The 21,812-nt window shown below is 40.0% G+C and overlaps 1 protein-coding gene across 26 annotated transcripts in view, besides 1 other annotated feature; it reads left to right on the top strand.

The window, feature by feature from the left end:
- PDE4D (phosphodiesterase 4D) overlaps positions 1-21,812 on the top strand; it is a 1,553,091-nt gene that overhangs the window by 1,107,560 nt on the left and 423,719 nt on the right. The window lies entirely within an intron of this gene.
- Positions 19,329-19,829: an enhancer, noted in NCBI's record as "H3K4me1 hESC enhancer chr5:58690566-58691066 (GRCh37/hg19 assembly coordinates)". NCBI's record gives its function as "activates a minimal SCP1, AML or CMV promoter by ChIP-STARR-seq in naive H9 embryonic stem cells {active_cell/tissue: H9 hESC(naive)}" and the evidence as "EXISTENCE:reporter gene assay evidence [ECO:0000049][PMID:30033119]".

Here is a 21,812-nt window from a genome sequence, read left to right as displayed (position 1 = left end):
TTTCATCCACACAGATCCTCTGGTATAGACAAACTGGTGTATTACTGTCTCACAAATATGTCCCCAATGTTTGTGTCTCCATGCCTTGGCTCGCATCCTCTCCTCTTCTGAAGTGTCCCTGCATTCTTCTTGATCTGCCCAAATTCTACCCTTTCTTCAAGGTCCAGTCCCTCCCTCTTCCATGATGAAGACTGCGGAGCATGATGCAATTCACTGTGTTTCAAATTCAGGATTGGGTGGCCTGATGGAAGGAGGCCAGGCTTGGGGTCCAAGTGGATCTGTTTCTTCTGTTTTCCGCCAAGTTGCCTACCCTCTCTGAGGTTCACATTCCATATCTTTGAAATCACAGTAACAAAACATAAGGTGCAGAACTATCTTGAGTATTAAGAATAACGTGTGCACTGGCATTCAGTGAGGGTTCAGATGGAGCACGTGAACTCTGTTACTTTCAGTACAGTCATAGGATATGTAATCATGTAGCTTCTAAAATGTCTTTCATTGTAAGATTTTGTTGTCATTTGGATTGCTATACAATTCATGCTTGATTTCTAAACTAGACTGCAAGTGTCTGGACTGAAACAAATGCATAATAGAATTCTGAGCAGATATGCACAGATATATATATGTGTGTGTGTATGTGTATATTTGTGTGTGTGCACATGTATTTGTAGATATCAAGGGAGAGAGGCACTTTCATGTGTATTGATTCATTCAGTCCCCACAAGAAAGCATCATTCTAGGAGGAAGTTGAAAATGTCCCTATTTTATCTATGAAGACTCTAGACTTGAAGAGTTTGAGTCCTTCCCAAATCAGTCCAACTCTTAAAGTGATAGAAGCAAAAAATTCACAGTGTTTACACATCTTTTCCAAAGCTGTTTGATGTTATTATTTCCCGCATATCACATCTGTGAGATTATCTGCCTAGATCAATATATGTGCTAACCATCTGTCAATCTTTATCTACATGCAATTGTACCCAGGTTCAGGGATTGTGGGAGGGAGAAAGGTTAGGTGGTTGTAAGAAGGACACTGCATAGTATGGTAGGCAAATACAGAATACCTGCAACAAGACAACCATGGCATTTCTTTTTTTTTTTTTTTTTTTTTTTTGAGATGGAGTCTCACTCAGTCACCCAGGCTGGAGTGTAGTGGCGCGATCTCGGCTCACTGCAAGCTCTGCCTCCCGGGTTCACGCCATTCTCCTGCCTCAGCTTCCTGAGTAGCTGGGACTACAGGCCCCCACCACTACGCCCGGCTAATTTTTTTGTATTTTTAGTAGAGACGGGGTTTCACCGTGTTAGCCAGGATGGTCTCGATCTCCTGACCTCGTGATCCGCCCACCTTGGCCTCCCAAAGTGCTGGGATTACAGGCGTGAGCCACCGCGCCCAGCCAACCATGGCATTTTTTGTTAGGTCACTCAGCATTGGTATCAAGAATAACAAATGACACTTGAGTTTCTTTTTCCTGAAAAAGGGCAGGAAGAGTCTAATAGCAAGTGCAATTGCCACAGGCAACAGTGTTATAACTGGAAAATCCTAAAATGTAGATAATTTTCCTCCAAATGCTTTCTAACAAAAGATAGACAAGTTTAAATTTGGCTGATTTCATATCTACCATAATATAGTACCAGCAATGCCAAGATACAGAAAACTGCCTAAGAAAAACAGAGTTCAGAAGACTTCGGATAAATTATCATCTTAAGCTTAACCTTATACCTATAAAAAATTCAGGGATATCAGTTATGACTTCTCATTGAGTAGTCTCATGTTAGACCAAAATAGTTTCCCATATTTTGGTGAAGGACCAGAATAACTTACCAGTAAATGAAACAATCATTTTCTTTTTGCTTTATACTCATTCTGCATGTGATTTGTATAGGGGATCAAGTCAAAGATTGCCAGTACAAAGTAACAACCTCTCATTGTATTGCTTAAGTTAATCATTAATATTTTCCATGGATCAATACCCTGTAGAAGCATGAGATGCAGCAGTGATCTTCAATTTCATGTGCTTGCCAAGTAAGAACAGCCATGGGCCAGATTGTTGGGAGCCGTGCCATGAGCTACAGACCCTCAGCTCCCCTCTATAATCAGTTCTTCCCCCACTCCAGTGCTCCCAACTTGCCCTAAGCAGAGCGTAATTGTGGATGTGTAACTACCGCAGAGGGGAGTATGCTTTTTATGTTGTTCAATTCTTCACTTTCTCTTCTGCAATTGAAAGTTGAGCTGTTAGATTTCCTGAAATGAAATGGTGACAAGAGAAAGTAACAGAAGTAGCCTTTATAAGTGCCTGACTTCTGGGTAACAGAAGTGACTTAAAAAAAATAAAAGTACAAAACGTTGCATTTAATGTAAAAGATGACTGCATTAGTACAACCCTTGAAAACATTCAAGTTCTTTTCAGAATAACCACCATTAAGGAGTTGACAAATATTTTATGCTTTAAAGTATCCTATAAAAGTTCATCACAGAAATAAAAAGCCTCCTGTTCTTATCCTTCTCAACAAAGCCCTCTTGTATATAGATATTGAGTCTGGCTTACCTCTGTATCCTGTTGTGCTGATAAACCAAGAACCTTGCAAAAATAGATGCACGATAATTGATATTTAATAAGTGAGCGAATCCATTAATGAAAAGAGTGCTATTTCAGAGAGCAGTGTTCATTTAGATAGATGGTCCCAGCGTCATTAAGTAAAAGGATAGAGAATACTTGCAATACATTTGGCGTAGTGTTAAGAATTTTTTAAAATGTTTTAAATGTGATCTTTTTTATGGGCTGAATTGTGTCCTCTCAAAATGTTGAAGTCCTAACCCCTGGTACCTCAGAATGTAACCATGGAGATAAGGTCTTTAAAGAGGTGATTAAATTAAAATGAGGTCTTTAGAGTGGCCCCTAATCCAATCTGAATGATACCTTTATAAAGGGAGGGAATTTGGACTCACAAAGAGACATTAGACACATGCACACAGAGACAACCATGTAAACACATGGTAAGAAGGCAGCCATCTGAAAGCCAAGGAGACAGGTCTCAGAGAAACTAAACCTGTTGACGCCTTTGATCTTGGACTTCCAAACTGTAGAACACTGACAAAACGTATTACTGTCGTGTAAGCCACCCAATCTGTGGTATTTTGTTATGGAAGCCCTGGAAAATTAATACAGTCTTTTTTATTTGCTACCTTTGAAAGCCCTCTTGTCAAATGACGGTAAAGAATAGAAGACAATAAAGTGTCAGTAATAAAGGGTGACGAGAAGAAACAACTAGAGATGTGAGAGGACCAATTTAGGAAATGGAAAGGAGAGGAAAAAATCAACAAAGTTGAGAATGCTAATTACAAAGTGCCCACAGAGGAGGGCAAAACCAGCAAACCATTCCCTTTGTCAAAATCTTGAAAGATGGCAATTGAGGAACCAAGAATCTTAAAAAGGGGGGAAGGTGGATGAGAAATCTGCATATGAAGGGGAGTCCTCCATAGGTTCTCCTCTCACCCTGCTCAGCTAGGAGACCAGTGCCACTTTATCCTCATTAGAATGGAAATTTATGCTATAAAAATAAATAAGAGAAGTCTTAACCTGGGGATACTAGGCACATTGGAAGGTGAGAGAGTAAATGAAAGTCTATCAACTGAATAGTGAAGTTCTGACTTCTCTAGTAGCACCTGGGAATAAGAACTCTGTCAGTTAGCCTTATAATGCCAAGAGAGGAGATAGAAAAATTGTTTTTCTATAAAAATTGTCTAAAAAAATATCTGCACTCCCATGTTTATTGTAGCACTATTCACAATAGCTAAGATTTGGAAGCAACCTAAGTGTCCCATCGACAGACAAATGGATGCAAAAAAACATGCAGTACCTATAAACAATGGAGTACTATTCAGCCATAAAAAAAGAATGAGATTGTGTAATTTGCAACAGCATAGTTGGAACTGGAAGACATTATGTTAAATAAGCCAGGTACAGAAAGATAAACTGCATATGTCCTCACTAATTTTTGGTAACTAAAATAAAAATACTTGAACTTGCCAGGTTCAGGGGCTCACGCCTGCAATCCTAGCACTTTGGGAGGCTGAGGCAGGCAGATTGCTTGAGGCCAGGAGTTCAAGACCAGTATGGCCAACATAATGAAACCCCATCTCTACTAAAAATATAAAAATTAGCCAGTCATGGTGGTGCATGCCTGTAATCTCAGCTACATGGGAAGCTGAGGCACAAGAATCACTTGAACCTGGGAGGCAGAGGTTGTGATGAGATCGTGCCACTGCACTCCAGCCTGGGTGATGGAGTGAGACTGTCTCAAGAAAAAAACAAAACAAACAAACAAACAAAACACTTGAACTCGTGGAGATAGAGAGTAGGATGCCATTTATCAAAGAGTGGGAAGGGTAGTGGGGAGGAAGAATAAGATCTAGTATTTGATAGCATAAGAGGGTGACTACAGTCAACAATAATTTATTGCATATTTAAAAGCAACTAAAAGAATATAATTGGAATGTTTGTAACACAAAGAAATGATAAATGCTTGAGATGATGGCTCCTCCATTTATCCTGATGTGATTATTACACACTGTATGCCTGTATTAAAATATTTCATGTGACCCATAAATTCATATACTTACTATGTACTCATAAGAATTAAAATTAAAAATAAAAATAACCAAGAAGAATTCTTCTTCAGAAAAATGGAATTACCACCCAGAGAAAAGACCTATAGTACTGGCATTAGATGGTTGCCCAATAAAGAAGCCAAGGGTCTTTATTCCTCAATTACCCCATGTATTAGGCCATTATTGCGTTGCTATAAAGAAATACCTGAGAGACTGGGTACTTTATAAGGAAAACATGTTTAATTGGTTCACAGTTCTGCAGGATGTACAAGCATGGTGCTGGCATCTGCTCAGCTTCTGGGGAGGCCTCAGGGAACTTGTAGTTGTTTCAGAAGACAAAAGGGGAGTAGGTGTCTCAAATGGTGAGAGCAGGAGTAAGGGGGTTGTGGGAGTTAGCACACACTTTTAAACAACTAGATCTCAGAGAGCTCATTCACTCACTCACCAAGCCATAAGGGATCTGCCCACATGACCCAGACACCACGCACCAGGGCCCATCTCCAACACTGGGGATTACATCCCAATATGAGATTTGGAGGGGACACCCAAACTGTATCATTCCGCCCTTGGCCCCCTAAATCTCATGTCCTTCTTACATGGCAAAATGGAATCATCTCTTCTCAACAGTCTCCCAGAGTCATAACTCATTCCAGCATTAACTCAAAAGTCCCAAGTCCAAATACAAAATCTTGTCTGGAAATGAGTTCCTCCCACTTATGAGCCTGTAAAATTAAAACAAGTTATTTACTTCCAAGCCAAGGTACAATAGAGGTACAGGCATTGGGTAAACATTCCCATTCTTTTTTTTTTTTTTTGAAATGGAGTCTCGCTTAGTCACCCAGGCTGGAGTGCAATGGTGCAATCTTGGCTCACTGCAACCTCTGCCTCCTGGGTTCAAGCGATTCTCCTGTCTCAGCCTCCTGAGTAGCTGGGATTACAGGCACCCGCTGTCATGCCCAGCTAATTTTTGTATTTTTGTAGAGATGGGGATTTTCATCACATTGGCCAGGCTTGTCTTGAACTCCTGACCTCAGGTGATTCACCTGTCTCAGCCGCCCAAAGTGCTGGGATTACAGGCATGAGCCATCATGCCTGGCCAACATTTCCATTCTAAAAGGAAGAAATCAGCCAAAAGAAATGACTTCAGGCCCCACCCAAGTCTGAAACACAACAGGACAGTCATTAAATCTTAAAGTTCTAAAATAATCTCCTTTGACTCCATGTCCCACATCCAGGTCACACTGATGTAAGGGTAGACTCCAAGGCCTTGGGCAGCTCTGCCTCTACAGCTTTTGCAAGGTGAAGCCTCCATGACTGCTCTCATGGGTTGGAGTTGAGTGCCTACGGCTTTCCCAGGTATAGGATGCAAGCTGCCAGTGGATCTACATTCTGGGACCCACAGAACAATGGCTTCCTTCCCACAGTTCCACTAGGCAATGCCCCAGGGGGGATTCTTTGTGGGCAGGGCTTCAATCCCATATTCCCTTCTGCACTACCTTAGTAGAGGTTTTCTGTGAGGACTCTGTCCCTGTAGCATGCTTCTGCCTGGACACCCAGGCTTTCTGATACATCCTCTGAAATCTAGGCAGAGACTAGGATCACTCTTTCCATTCTTTCTATCTGAAGGCTTAATACCACAAGGAAGCCACAAAGGCTTACAGCTTACATGCTCCAGAGTGGCAACCTGAGCCATACCTGAGGCTCTTTGAGCCACGGCTGGACTGGATGGACCATGATGCAAGGAGCAGCCTCCTGAGGTAGACAGTGTAGTGGTGCCCTGTGCTTATCCCCTAAACCATTTAGTCCTCCTGTACCACTGGGACTGTGGTGGGAGGAGCTGCCTAGAAGATCTCTGAAATGCTGTAAAGGCCTTTTTCCCATTATTTTGGCTATTAGCACTTGTTCTCTTTTAGTTATGCAAATTTCCCTAGCAAATGATTGCTTGCAGCCTGCTTGAATTCCTCCCCAAAAATGGCCTTTTATTTTCTATCACATAGCTAGGTTGCAAATTTTCCACACTTGTAAGCTCTGCTTCCCTTTTAAGTAAAAATTCCAAGTTTAGGTTATTTCTTTGCTTCTGCATCTGAGCATAGGTTATTAGAAGCAGCCAGGTCACATCTCAATTGCTTCAGTGCTTAGAAATGTCTTCTGCCAGATACCCTAAGTCATTAACTCTTAAGTTCAAACTTTCACAGGTCCCTGGGCATGAATATAATGTAGCCAAGTTCTTTGCTAAGGTATAACATGGGTGACCTTTGCTCCAGTTCTCAATAAGTTCCTCACTTACACCTAATACTTTGTCAGCACGGACTTTACTTTGCAGATCACTATCAGCATTTTGGTCATGACCATTTAATCAGTCTCTACCAAGTTTCAAACTTTTCCTCATCTCCCTGCCTTCTCCTGAGCCCTCCCAATTCTTCCAACCTCTGTCTCTTACCCAGTTCCAATGTCATTTTGACATTTTCAGGTATCTTTATAGCAATGCCCCACTCCTTGGTACCAGTCTTCTATATTAGGCTGTTGTGGCATTGCAATAAAGAAATATCTGAGACTGGGTAATTTATGAAGAAATAGAAAATTAACTGGCTTGCAGTTCTGCAGGCTGTACAAGCATAATGCCAGCATTTGCTAAGCTTCTGGAGAGGCCTCAGGGAGCTTTCAATCATGGTGGAAGCTGAAGAGAGAGCAGCTATCTCACGTGGCAATAGGGGGAGCAAGAGAGAGAGCGGGAAGGAAGGTGTTACACACCTTTAAACAAAGAGATTTTATGAGAACTTGCTCACAAAGCTATAAGGGAACCACTCCCATGACTCAGACACCTCCCACCAGGCCCCACCTCCAACACTGAGGATTACATCTCAACATGAGAATTGGAGGGGACATTCAAGGAACACCACCCTATAATGAACCCCAAGACTCTACAAGTCCAGTTAAATCATTCAAGGCTCCCAGTCAGTATTTTAGTGTCTCCCTGTTGAATATGAATAGATAGCCAAGTCTCCACAAAACTCTGAGGAAATTCTTCAACAAAAAGCCTAATGCAAACAAATGAAAATAATGATGATGATTAGGTTGATATAAAAAGAGTTTAAGAAACAAATAGACGTTTCAGAAAAAATAAACTTCGTAGCCCTAGACAGATGACAAGTTATCACATTAATGAAACAAAAGGATACTATACAAAATTATCAAGTAAGAACAAAAGAGAGTTAGAATTTAAAACAATGAAAGAAGATGCTAATAAATAAAATCAGAGATGAAAAGGGAGATGTTGCTGGGCACAATGGCTCACACCTGTAATCCCAGCACTTTGGGAGGCCAAGGCAGGCAGATCATGAGGTCAGGAGTTTGAGACCAGCCTGACCAATACGGTGAAATCCCATCTCTACTAAAAATACAAGAATTAGCCAGCGTGGTGGCACGTGCCTGTAATCCCAGCTACTCAGAAGGCTGAGGCAGGAGAATTGCTTGAACCTGGGAGGCGGAGGTTGCAGTGAGCCAAGATTGTGCCACTGCACTCCAGCCTGGATGACAGAGCAAGACTCTATGGGGGGGGGGGGGGGGAAGGAAAGATAAGGAAAGATAAGGGAGACGTTACAAGCAATACCACAGAAATTCAAAGGATCATTAGATGCTACTAGGAGCAACTATATGCAAATAAATTGGAAAACCTAAAAAAATGATAAATTCCTAGACAAATACAACCTACCAAGATTTAACCATGACGAAATCCAAAACCTGAACAGACCAATACCATCAAGATTGAAGCCATAATGAAAAGTCTCCCAGTAAAGAAAAGCCCAGGATCTGATGGCTTTACTGCTTAATTTTGCCAAACATTTAAAGAAGTAATATCAATCCTACTCAAACTATTCTGAAAAATAGAGGAGGAGGGAGTACTTCCACACTTATTGCACAAGGCCAGTATTACCCTCATACCGAAACAGACCAAAGGCACATTGCAAACAGAAAACTACAGGCCAATACTCCCAATGAACATTTATGCAGAAATCCTCAACAAAATACTAGCAAGCCAAATTCAGCAACACATTAAAAAGATTAGTCATCGTGACCAAGTGGGATTTTTCCCAAGGAAGCAAGGATGGTTCAACATAATGTAAATCAGTCAGTGTGATACATCATATCAATGAAGGACAAAAACATATGATCATTTCAATTTATGCTGGGAAAGCATTTGATAAAATTCAACATCCCTTCATGATAAAAACTCAAAAAACTGAGGATAGAAGGAACATACCTGAACACAAGGAAAGCCATATATGACAGACCCACAGCTAGTATCATATCGAATGGGGAAAAATTGAAAGTTTTTCCTCCAAGATCTGTAACATGACAGGGATGTCCATTACCCCTTGAGCAATCAGACAGGAGAATGAAAGGATATTCAAATTGGAAAGGAAGAAGTCAAGTTATTCTTGTTTGCAGATGATATTATTTTATATTTGGAAAAACCTAAAGACTTCACCAAAACACTACTAGAACTGGTAAACAGATTCAATAAAGTTGCAAGACACAAATTCAACATATAAAAATCAGTAGCATTTCTATATGCCAATGGTGAACAATCTGAAAAAGAAATCAAGAATGTAATCCCATTTATAATAGCTACAAATAAAATACCTAGGAATTAACTTACTGAAAGAAGTGAAAGAGTTCTACAATGAAAACTATAAAACACGGATGAAAGAAATTAAAGAGAACACAAAAAATGGAAAGATATTTCATGTTCATGGATTGGAAGAATCAATATTGTTAAAATGTACATAGTACCCAAAGCAATCTTCAGATTCAATGCAATCTCTATCAAAATACCAATGACATTCTTCACAGATATAGAAAAATATCTTAAAATTCATGTATAACCACAAAAGACCCAGAATACTCAAAGCTATACTGAGCAAAAAGAACAAAACTGGAGGAATCATATTACCTGACTTCAAATAACACTACAGAGCTATAGTAACCAAAACAGGATGGTTCTGGCATGAAAACCCAGGAACAAATTCATACATGTACAGTGAACTCATTTTTGACAAAGGTGCCAAGAACATACATTGAGAAAGGACAGTCTCTTCAATAAATGGTTCTGGGAAAACTGGATATCTATATGCAGAAGAATGAAACTAGACTTCTATCTCTTGCCGTATACAAAAATCAAATCAAAATGGAATAAAGACTTAAATCTAAGACTTCAAACTATAAAACTATTGAAAGAAAACATTGGGGAAACTCTCCAGGACATTGGCCTGAGCAAAGATTTTTTTTTTTTTTTTTAGACAGAGTCTCACTCTGTTGCCCAGACTGGAGGCTGAAGTGCAGTGGTGTGATCTCAGCTCACAGCAGCCTCTGCCTCCTGGGTTCAAGTGATTCTTGTGCCTCAGCCTCCTGAGTAGCTGGGACTATAGGTGCACACCACCATGCTGGGCTAATTTTTGTATTTTTAGTTGAGACAGGGTTTTGCCATGTTGGCCAGGTTGGTCTCCAACTCCTGACCTCAAGTGATATACCTGCCTAGGCCTCCCAAAGTGCATGGATTGCAGGTGTGAGCCACTGCGCCTGGCCTGAGCAAAGATTTTTTGAGTAATACCCCACAAGCACAAGCAACCAAAGCGAAAATAGACAAATGGGATCACATCAAGTTAAAAATACCTGCGTAGCAAAGGAAACAGTCAACAAGGTGAGGAGACAACCCACAGAATGGGAGAAAATATTAGCAAACTATCCATCTGACAAGGGATTAATATCCAGAATATATTAGGAGCTCAACTCCGTAGGAAAAAAAATCTGATAATCCAATTAAAAATGGGCAAAACACCTGAATAGACATTTCTGAAAAGAAGACATACAAATGGCAAACAGTCATATGAAAAGGTGTGCAATGTCATTGGTCATCAGGGAAATGCAAATCAAAACTGCAGTTAAATATTATCTCACCCCAGTTAAAATGGCTTTTATCCAAAAGACAGGCAGTAACAAATGCTGACAAGGATGTAGAGAAAAGAGAACACTCCTACACTTTTGGTGGGAATGTAAATTAGTACAACCACTACGGAGAACAATTTGGAGGTTCCTCGAAAAAGCTAAAAATAGAACTCCCATATGATCCAGCAATCCCACTTCTAGGTAGGTATACACCCAAAAGAAAGGAAATCAATATATCTGCACTTCCATATTTATTGTAGCACTATTCACAGTAGCCAAGATTTGGAAGCAACCTAAGTTTCCCTCAATAGACGAATGAATAAAGAAAATGTGGTACATATACACAATGGAGTACTGTTCGGCCATAGAAAGAAATGAGATCCTGTCATTTGCAACAACATGGATGTAACTGGAGGATGTTATGTTAAATGAAATTATCCAGGCACAGAAAGATCATCTTCACGTATTCTCACTATTTAAGGGAGCTGGAAATTAAAAGAATTGAGATCCTGGAGATAGAGATTAGAGTGATGGTTACCAGAGGCTAGGAGGTGTAGTGGATGGGAGGAAGTAAGAAGTGGGGATGTTTAATGGGTACAAAAATATAATTAGATAGAACAAATAAGATCTGGTATTTGATAGCTCAACAGGGTGACTACAGTCAACAGTAGTTTATCATACATCTCAAAATAACTAAGAGAATATAATTGAATTGTTTGTAACTTAAAGGGTAAATGTTTGCAGTAATAGATTCCCTGTTTACCCTGATATTATTATGCATTGCTTGCCTGTATGAAAATATCTCGTGGGCCCCATAAATCAATCAATCTATCTATCTATCTGTCTGTCTGTCTGTCTGTCTGTCTGTCTGTCTACCTACCTACCTATTATGTACCAACAGAAATTTAAAATTTAAAAAATTATGTTTTGGAGACGTCTAGAAAAATTGGTGATAATGTCACATAATCAAATAAAGAAGGTAATATATAACTCCAGAAAAAACAAAAAGTTGTTCCATAAATAAAACATAATTATGGCACATCATTTGGTTTATCAGTAAACGTTACTTTGCAGGGATGATACAATAGAACACTGAATGTTTATTTAGCCAATAATTGTTATATAACTGTAATGGGAGGATAGAAAGAGGGAAGTAGAGAGGTGAAATGGTGAAAGAGTGTGAAATCTTCATCATTCATAATAGAAAGTCAGTTAGAAATATGGAATTTAAAAAAAAATAGTTTGAGAGCCTTATGAAGAGGGTGGCACAAAAGACTCCTGCAACTTGTTCTAAGCCCTGTGCATACAATTTGGGGTGTGTGGGTTAGTTTAATAATTATTTTGTAAATATAAAAGGAACCAAAGCAACCAAATTTCTGGATATAAATGTCCTGTGTTGATTATCATGATAATAGGTAGACATCTTGGATTGGAATTTTTTAACATTTGAATGGAATACCCCATTTCCCCTTTAATCTTTGATAGGTTTAACATGGTCACTAACTGTAGAGTAGGGACTTGTCGTGCTCTTTATTGGCAGAAGTGTGACTGGCTACCCCTGACCGTTCGGGAGAGGAGACATGTACACCTGGCCAATCAGACCAGCAGATTCACTGCTGGTGATGAGTGAAGTTGCAGATGTCAGGGACAGCTTGTGCTGTTCAGGTTAAATTATCTCACTTCAGCTCTCACTCTAAAGATGATTTATAACTAGTATTCTTCACTTTCAGTCTTTTCACTAGCAAGCAGGATACTTATGGAAAATAATTAGGATGAAAAGAGGTCACTCTATCACAATAGTGAGTTTTTGAATTCACACTTTAAACGAGATGATCCTCCTTAGGAAAAGCAAAATAAAACGAATTTCCATGCCATTGTTGATTCTACTTGAGTTAAATACTAACATAAAAAGTTGGTTTTCTGTGCATAGCCTGGAGAATCTTGTCTCTCAGAATTATCATGCCCCAGGCCATTCCTTGCAGATTTTGAATTCCCTTTGTCTCAAAAACATCCAGAAAATCTTTTTGACCTTCGGGTGGTTGGCAGAACATGTGTTGTGAGGGCACCTCAGTTTAGAAGAAAAGCCCTGAACTTAGTTCAAAAGAAGGGCTTTCCAGCATGCTATTCATTCAGCTTAGGACTGCCAGGCTTCCTGAAAGACAGGTGTGTCAGAAACAAAGTAAATAAACAGAAACTCACAATGTCCAGACCTTTCTCTCCAGAGCAGCACAGTTCCCTTGCTGAGCGGCAACAGCCAAGGCTTTAAGCTGTTCCCTCTCCCTTTTCTGTTAATTGAGAAAACCAATTGCTGCAAGAGCAACATCAGCAGAGCTAAATGTAAATGGAGTTTAATAGAAAGAGACAAATAACCCACTGAGAACCCCTAACATTTCAGTGTAATACCCCAGAGTTCCACACCATAAACTTGGTATTCCAGTATAAAGCTCATCTCTCAATTGCACGCCACCCTCCCCCATCTTATTCACTCTCTTGCATTATTAAAGGAGTGATCTCCCCCATGGGATCAAAATAGATAGATAGATAGATAGATAGATAGATAGATAGATAGATAGTCTCTAATATATGTATTAGAAACAGAGTCTGTGTTGCCCAGGCTGGAGTGCAGTGGCATGACCATAGGTCACTGTAACCTTGAACGTTTGGGCTCCAGCGATCTACAGGTGTGCAGGTCTACAGGTGTGCACCACCATGTCCAGCTAATTTTTAAAATTTTTGTAGAGACAGGATATCTCTATGTTGCCCAGGCTGGTCTTGAACTCCTCTTCTCAAATGATTCTCCTGCCTTGGCCACCCAAAGGGCTGAGAATACAGGTGTGAGCTACCATGCCCAGCCATAAACATGAAATTTACTTATGTTTTATGTATACCATGTGCACATAGCCTGAAGGTAATTTTACACAATATTTTAAATAATTTTGTGCATGAAACAAAGTTTGTGTACACTGAACCATCAGCAAAGGAGTCACTATCTCATGTCAGTGACCAAAAAGTTTTAGACTTTGGAGCATTTTGGATTTCAGAGCATCTTGAATTTTAGGTTTTTGGATGGGGATGCTCAACCTGTATATATGCATACATGCATATTTATGTAACATACATAATGGTACCTAAAACTTAGCAAATACTCATATGTTAGCTATTATTTTTGTTGGTATTACTATGAATAATAACTATTAGCATTTTCTCTCATATCTAAAATGCAGTTGGTAAATGCTAAACTCATAGGAATGTTGTAAAGATTTATTTTTTTATTTTTTTTATTATTATACTTTAAGTTTTAGGGTACATGTGCACATTGTGCAGGTTAGTTACATACGTATACATGTGCCATGCTGGTGTGCTGCACCCACTAACTCGTCATCTAGCATTAAGTATATCTCCCAATGCTATCCCTCCCCCCTCCCCCCACCCCACAGCAGTCCCCAGAGTGTGATGTTCCCCTTCCTGTGTCCATGTGATCTCATTGTTCAATTCCCACCTATGAGTGAGAATATGCGGTGTTTGGTTTTTTGTTCTTGCAATAGTTTACTGAGAATGATGATTTCCAATTTCATCCATGTCCCTACAAAGGACATGAACTCATCATTTTTTATGGCCGCATAGTATTCCATGGTGCATATGTGCCACATTTTCTTAATCCAGTCTATCGTTGTTGGACATTTGGGTTGGTTCCAAGTCTTTGCTATTGTGAATAATGCCGCAATAAACATACATGTGCATGTGTCTTTATAGCAGCATGATTTATAGTCCTTTGGGTATATACCCAGTAATGGGATGGCTGGGTCAAATGGTATTTCTAGTTCTAGATCCCTGAGGAATCGCCACACTGACTTCCACAATGGTTGAACTAGTTTACAGTCCCACCAACAGTGTAAAAGTGTTCCTATTTCTCCACATCCTCTCCAGCACCTGTTGTTTCCTGACTTTTGAATGATTGCCATTCTACCTGGTGTGAGATGGTATCTCATTGTGGTTTTGATTTGCGTTTCTCTGATGGCCAGTGATGGTGAGCATTTTTTCATGTGTTTTTTGGCTGCATAAATGTCTTCTTTTGAGAAGTGTCTGTTCATGTCCTTCGCCCACTTTTTGATGGGGTTATTTGTTTTTTTCTTGTAAATTTGTTTGAGTTCATTGTAGATTCTGGATATTAGCCATTTGTCAGATGAGTAGGTTGCGAAAATTTTCTCCCATTTTCTAGGTTGCCTGTTCACTCTGATGGTAGTTTCTTTTGCTGTGCAGAAGCTCTTTAGTTTAATTAGATCCCATTTATCAATTTTGGCTTTTGTTGCCATTGCTTTTGGTGTTTTAGACGTGAAGTCCTTGCCCATGCCTGTGTCCTGAATGGTAATGCCTAGGTTTTCTTCTAGGGTTTTTATGGTTTTAGGTCTAACATGTAAGTCTTTAATCCATCTTGAATTAATTTTTGTATAAGGTGTAAGGAAGGGATCCAGTTTCAGCTTTCTAAATATGGCTAGCCAGTTTTCCCAGAACCGTTTATTAAATAGGGAATCCTTTCCCCATTGCTTGTTTTTCTCAGGTTTGTCAAAGATCAGATAGTTGTAGATATGCGGCGTTATTTCTGAGGGCTCTGTTCTGTTCCATTGATCTATATCTCTGTTTTGGTACCAGTACCATGCTGTTTTGGTTACTGTAGCCTTGTAGTATAGTTTGAAGTCAGGTAGCGTGATGCCTCCAGCTTTGTTCTTTTGGCTTAGGTTTGACTTGGTGATGCAGGCTCTTTTTTGGTTCCATATGAACTTTAAAGTAGTTTTTTCCAATTCTGTGAAGAAAGTCATGGGTAGCTTGATGGGGATGGCATTGAATCTTTAAATTACCTTGGGCAATATGGCCATTTTCACGATATTGATTCTTCCTACCCATGAGCATGGAATGTTCTTCCATTTGTTTGTATCCTCTTTTATTTCATTGAGCAGTGGTTTGCAGTTCTCCTTGAAGAAGTCCTTCATGTCGCTTGTAAGTTGGATTCCTAGGTGTTTTATTCTCTTTGAAGCAATTGTGAATGGGAGTTCACTCATGATTTGGCTCTCTGTTTGTCTGTTGTTGGTGTATAAGAATGCTTGTGATTTTTGTACATTGATTTTGTATCCTGAGACTTTGCTGAAGTTGCTTATCAGCTTAAGGAGATTTTGGGCTGAGACAATGGGGTTTTCTAGATATACAATCATGTAGTCTGCAAACAGGGACAATTTGACTTCCTCTTTTCCTAATTGAATACCCTTTATTTCCTTCTCCTGCCTAATTGCCCTGGCCAGAACTTCCAACACTATGTTAAATAGGAGTGGTGAGAGAGAGCATCCCTGTCTTGTGCCAGTTTTCAAAGGGAATGCTTCCAGTTTTTGCCCATTCAGTATGATATTGGCTGTGGGTTTGTCATAGATAGCTCTTATTATTTTGAAATATGTCCCATCAATACCTAATTTATTGAGAGTTTTTAGCATGTAGGGTTGTTGAATTTTGTCAAAGGCCTTTTCTGCATCTATTGAGATAATCATGTGGTTTTTGTCTTTGGCTCTGTTTATATGCTGGATTACATTTACTGATTTGTGTATATTGAACCAGCCTTGCATCCCAGGGATGAAGCCCACTTGATCATGGTGGATAAGCTTTTTGATGTGCTGCTGGATTTGGTTTGCCAGTATTTTATTGAGGATTTTTGCATCAATGTTCATCAAGGATATTGGTCTAAAATTCTCTTTTTTGGTTGTGTCTCTGCCCGGCTTTGGTATTAGAATGATGCTGGCCTCATAAAATGAGTTAGGGAGGATTCCCTCTTTTTCTATTGATTGGAATAGTTTCAGAAGGAATGGTACCAGTTCCTCCTTGTACCTCTGGTAGAATTTGGCTGTGAATCCATCTGGTCCTGGACTCTTTTTGTTGGTAAGCTATTGATTATTGCCACAATTTCAGATCCTGTTATTGGTCTATTCAGAGATTCAACTTCTTCCTGGTTTAGTCTTGGGAGGGTGTATGTGTCAAGGAATTTATCCATTTCTTCTAGATTTTCTAGTTTATTTGCATAGAGGTGTTTGTAGTATTCTCTGATGGTAGTTTGTATTTCTGTGGGATCGTTGGTGATATCCCCTTTATCATTTTTTATTGCATCTATTTGATTCTTCTCTCTTTTTTTCTTTATTAGTCTTGCTAGCGGTCTATCAATTTTGTTGATCCTTTCAAAAAACCAGCTCCTGGATTCATTAATTTTTTGAAGGGTTTTTTGTGTCTCTATTTCCTTCAGTTCTGCTCTGATTTTAGTTATTTCTTACCTTCTGCTAGCTTTTGAATGTGTTTGCTCTTGCTTTTCTAGTTCTTTTACTTGTGATGTTAGGGTGTCAATTTTGGATCTTTCCTGCTTTCTCTTGTGGGCATTTAGTGCTATAAATTTCCCTCTACACACTGCTTTGAATGCGTCCCAGAGATTCTGGTATGTTGTGTCTTTGTTCTCGTTGGTTTCAAAGAACATCTTTATTTCTGCCTTCATTTCATTATGTACCCAGTAGTCATTCAGGAGCAGGTTGTTCGGTTTCCATGTAGTTGAGCGGTTTTGAGTGAGATTCTTAATCCTGAGTTCTAATTTGATTGCACTGTGGTCTGAGAGATAGTTTGTTATAATTTCTGTTCTTTTACATTTGCTGAGGAAAGCTTTACTTCCAAGTAAATGGTCAATTTTGGAATAGGTGTGGTGTGGTGCTGAAAAAAATGTATATTCTGTTGATTTGGAGTGGAGAGTTCTGTAGATGTCTATTAGGTCTGCTTGGTGCAGAGCTGAGTTCAATTCCTGGGTATCCTTGTTGACTTTCTGTCTCGTTGATCTGTCTAATGTTGACAGTGGGGTGTTAAAGTCTCCCATTATTAATGTGTGGAAGTCTAAGTCTCTTTGTAGGTCACTCAGGACTTGCTTTATGAATCTGGGTGCTCCTGCAGGTGCATATATATTTAGGATAGTTAGCTCTTCTTGTTGAATTGATCCCTTTACCATTATGTAATGGCCTTCTTTGTCTCTTTTGATCTTTGTTGGTTTAAAGTCTGTTTTATCAGAGACCAGGATTGCAACCCCTGCCTTTTTTTGTTTTCCATTTGCTTGGTAGATCTTCCTCCATCCTTTTATTTTGAGCCTATGTGTGTCTCTGCATGTGAGATGGGTTTCCTGAATACAGCACACTGATGGGTGTTGACTCTTTATCCAATTTGCCAGTCTGTGTCTTTTAATTGGAGCATTTAGTCCATTTACATTTAAAGTTAATAGTGTTATGTGTGAATTTGATCCTGTCATTTTGATGTTAGCTGGTTATTTTGCTCGTTAGTTGATGCAGTTTCTTCCTAGTCTCGATGGTCTTTACATTTTGGCATGATTTTGCAGCGGCTGGTACCGGTTGTTCCTTTCCATGTTTAGCGCTTCCTTCAGGAGCTCTTTTAGGGCAGGCCTGGTGGTGACAAAATCTCTCAGCATTTGCTTGTCTGTAAAGGATTTTATTTCTCCTTCACTTATGAAGCTTAGTTTGGCTGGATATGAAATTCTGGGTTGAGAATTCTTTTCTTTAAGAATGTTGAATATTGGCCCCCACTCTCTTCTGGCTTGTAGGGTTTCTGCCGAGAGATCTGCTGTTAGTCTGATGGGCTTCCCTTTGAGGGTAACCCGACCTTTCTCTCTGGCTGCCCTTAACATTTTTTCCTTCATTTCAACTTTGGTGAATCTGACAATTATGTGTCTTGGAGTTGCTCTTCTCGAGGAGTATCTTTGTGGCGTTCTGTGTATTTCCTGAATCTGAACGTTGGCCTGCCTTGCTAGATTGGGGAAATTCTCCTGGATAATATCCTGCAGAGTGTTTTCCAACTTGGTTCCATTCTCCCCATCACTTTCAGGTACACCAGTCAGACGTAGACTTGGTCTATTCACATAGTCCCATATTTCTTGGAGGCTTTGCTCGTTTCTTTTTATTCTTTTTTCTCTAAACTTTCCTTCTCACTTCATTTCATTCATTTCATCTTCCATTGCTGATACCCTTTCTTCCAGTTGATCGCATCAGCTCCTGAGGCTTCTGCATTCTTCAGGTAGTTCTTGAGCCTTGGTTTTCAGCTCCATCAGCTCCTTTAAGCACTTCTCTGTATTGGTTATTCTAGTTATACATTCTTCTAAATTTTTTTTAAAGTTTTCAACTTCTTTGCCTTTGGTTTGAATGTCCTCCCGTAGCTCAGAGTAATTTGATCGTCTGAAGCCTTCTTCTCTCAGCTCGTCAAAGTCATTCTCCATCCAGCTTTGTTCTGTTGCTGGTGAGGAGCTGCGTTCCTTTAGAGGAGGAGAGGCGCTCTGATTTTTAGAGTTTCCAGTTTTTCTGTTCTGTTTTTTCCCCATCTTTGTGGTTTTATCTACTTTTGGTCTTTGATGATGGTGATGTACAGATGGGTTTTTGGTGTGGATGTCCTTTCTGTTTGTTAGTTTTCCTTCTAACAGACAGGACCCTCAGCTGCAGGTCTGTTGGAGTACCCTGCAGTGTGAGGTGTCAGCCTGCCCCTGCTGGAGCCTCCCAGTTAGGCTGCTCGGGGGTCAGGGGTCAGAGACCCACTTGAGGAGGCAGTCTGCCAGTTCTCAGATCTCCAGCTGCGTGCTGGGAGAACCACTGCTCTCTTGAAAGCTGTCAGACAGGGACATTTAAGTCTGCAGAGGTTACTGCTGTCTTTTTGTTTGTCTGTGCCCTGCCCTGCCCCCAGAGTTGGAGCCTACAGAAGCACGCAGGCCTCCTTGAGCTGTGGTGGGCTCCACCCAGTTGGAGCTTCCCGGCTGCTTTGTTTACCTAAGCAAGCCTGGACAATGGTGGGCGCCCCTCCCCCAGCCTCGCCGCTGCCTTGCAGTTTGATCTCAGACTGCTGTGCTAGCAATCAGCGAGACTCCGTGGGGTAGGACCCTCCCAGCCAGGTGCGGGATATAATCTCGTGGTGTGCTGTTTTTTAAGCCCGTCGGAAAAGCGCAGTATTCGGGTGGGAGTGACCCGATTCTCCAGGTGCCATCCGTCACCCCTTTCTTTGATTAGGAAAGGGAACTCCCTGACCCCTTGCACTTCCCGAGTGAGGCAATGCCTCGCCCTGCTTCGGCTTGTGCACGGTGCGCGCACCCACTGACCTGCGCCTACTGTCTGGCACTCCCTAGTGAGATGAACCCAGTACCTCAGATGGAAATGCAGAAATCACCTGTCTTCTGCGTCGCTCAGGCTGGGAGCTGTAGACCGGAGCTGTTCCTATTCGGCCATCTTGGCTCCTCCTGTTGTAAAGATTCATAAAGTTGATAGATTTTAAATCCTTGGAACTGTGCCTTGTATATGGTGAAGAATAGAAAAGTGCCATCTTTCATTATTTTCACCAATAGTAATAAAGCACAATTGTATAGTAAACTTGTAATATAGTATATGCTCAATAAATTGTTAATTAACTTTTGTGTTCATTTCCTAGTGCATATATATCACTAAGGGAATTGATACTAATGTCATTGCATGCATTAATGGTAACATTAATTATCTTCTTACACATTGGGCAAAAAAAGAAAATACCAGGCTGTCAGAACATCTTGGCCCAGAAACCTCCCTTCAGCAAAAAGACAAAAATGTGAGTGAAGAGAATATGCCTTTGAGAATTGAGAGGGTTGCATTTTGCCTATTATGTATAGAGATTTGCCAATTTCCCTTTCACAAACTATGACAGTGACACTGATTCTGGATGAGCAACCTGCATAATGCTTCAGGGGCACATCTCTTCTTCTAAGGCTGCAGGCTTGCCGATGAGACAGAACACAGCCTCAATTCCATCTGCTGTCATTTATCTGCCAATATAGATAGCAGATCTCTGTGGGTCTTGGACTGCTCAAACGACACAGTATATTTTAGCAACTGAAGGGGAACCACTTGAGATCACTAAAGGTGGAAAACACCTGATGACACCTTCAATCGAAAGAAATGAGTATCCAAAATCTGAAACATTAGGCCCCACAGTACAATGGCTCTAGTGACAGATAAAAAATACTATTTCTAACCCTTATAGAATGAACTTGTTTTCAAGAGCTCAAAGAAAACTTTTATCACATTTATCTTCCACTTTTAATTAAAAAGATTATTTCTGAAATGCTAAAACTTTTGTTTTATTCATGTTTTAGAGGAAAGGAGAGGAAGAGAAACCACCTGTTACTTTCTTGATGCTGTACCTGGCACCTGCCCTTGATTGAAGATGAGTTTTGCATGGTGTCTGAACCAAAAATAACAAGTCCTTTAAAAATTATTGTCCTAAAAACCAGCAGATCAAACTACTTTCTTTTTTCTCAGAGGATTCACAAAGTATATTGTTTGGAAAGGCAAAGTCAGTGAAGAAAAAAGAGGAACGTCCCTAAATATTGGTGTTGTCATTTATAATGTAAGACTTCACTAGAATGAGATTATCTCAGGTGTGAATGGAGAAAGGTAGGATGCATGCAGTGTGGAAGCAGCCAGATTCAACACACTAAAATCATTAACACATATGTTTGTGTAGTTGTGTGTAATTTTGAGGGGGAGAAGAGGAATTTTGCCTTTAATTCTCACTCCAACCACTTGACCAATAATTGGGAATCATCTCTTTTATCCCCTATTTTTGCCCCTTGTTCTATATGTTATTTTTTTGAGATGTTCTTTATCATAAAGTGCCTTTACGTAGGCAGTATATAAGCAGTATGCAAAATTGAGTCCCCATCTCTGGCATTGATCTCAAAGTCCTTTTTTTGTTGTCAAATACCTTTGAATCTGTGTCTTCAAACTCTGCTTGGGTTCACTCAAATCAGTATATTTCTTTCCATATGTAGGTCTTTTGATTTTTGTCCTAGGTTGACTCTTTCCTGAGTTCCCTTTTACATCAGAAATTAACATTTTCCTAATTATCCAGTCTAGAAATTTTAGTCATCATTACTTTTTCTTTTCATTCATTTTTAATATCCAATCCATCCTCAGGTTCAATTAATCCTTTCTTCAAACTCTACTTCCCCTGTCTTTCATTCTTCAGCTGAGTTCACATCACATAGGTCCTCATCCATTCATGCCAGGACTTCGACAGCAGATACTAACAGGCATCAACCTCCAGACTCGTTAAATTAATCCTACACACTATTTCCAGGTGACTTACTGAAAGTCTTCATTTGATCCTGTCACTCTCCCTTTCAGGACTCTTCCAGCAGGTCACAACTCACATATCTGCAGGAGCCAGGAGC

The sequence above is a fragment of the Homo sapiens genome, chromosome 5 (assembly GCF_000001405.40).
Source record: "Homo sapiens chromosome 5, GRCh38.p14 Primary Assembly".
Taxonomy (NCBI): domain Eukaryota; kingdom Metazoa; phylum Chordata; class Mammalia; order Primates; family Hominidae; genus Homo; species Homo sapiens.
The sequence above is the reverse complement of the archived record's forward strand: the minus strand, read 5'-3'. Positions and strand labels throughout refer to the sequence as shown.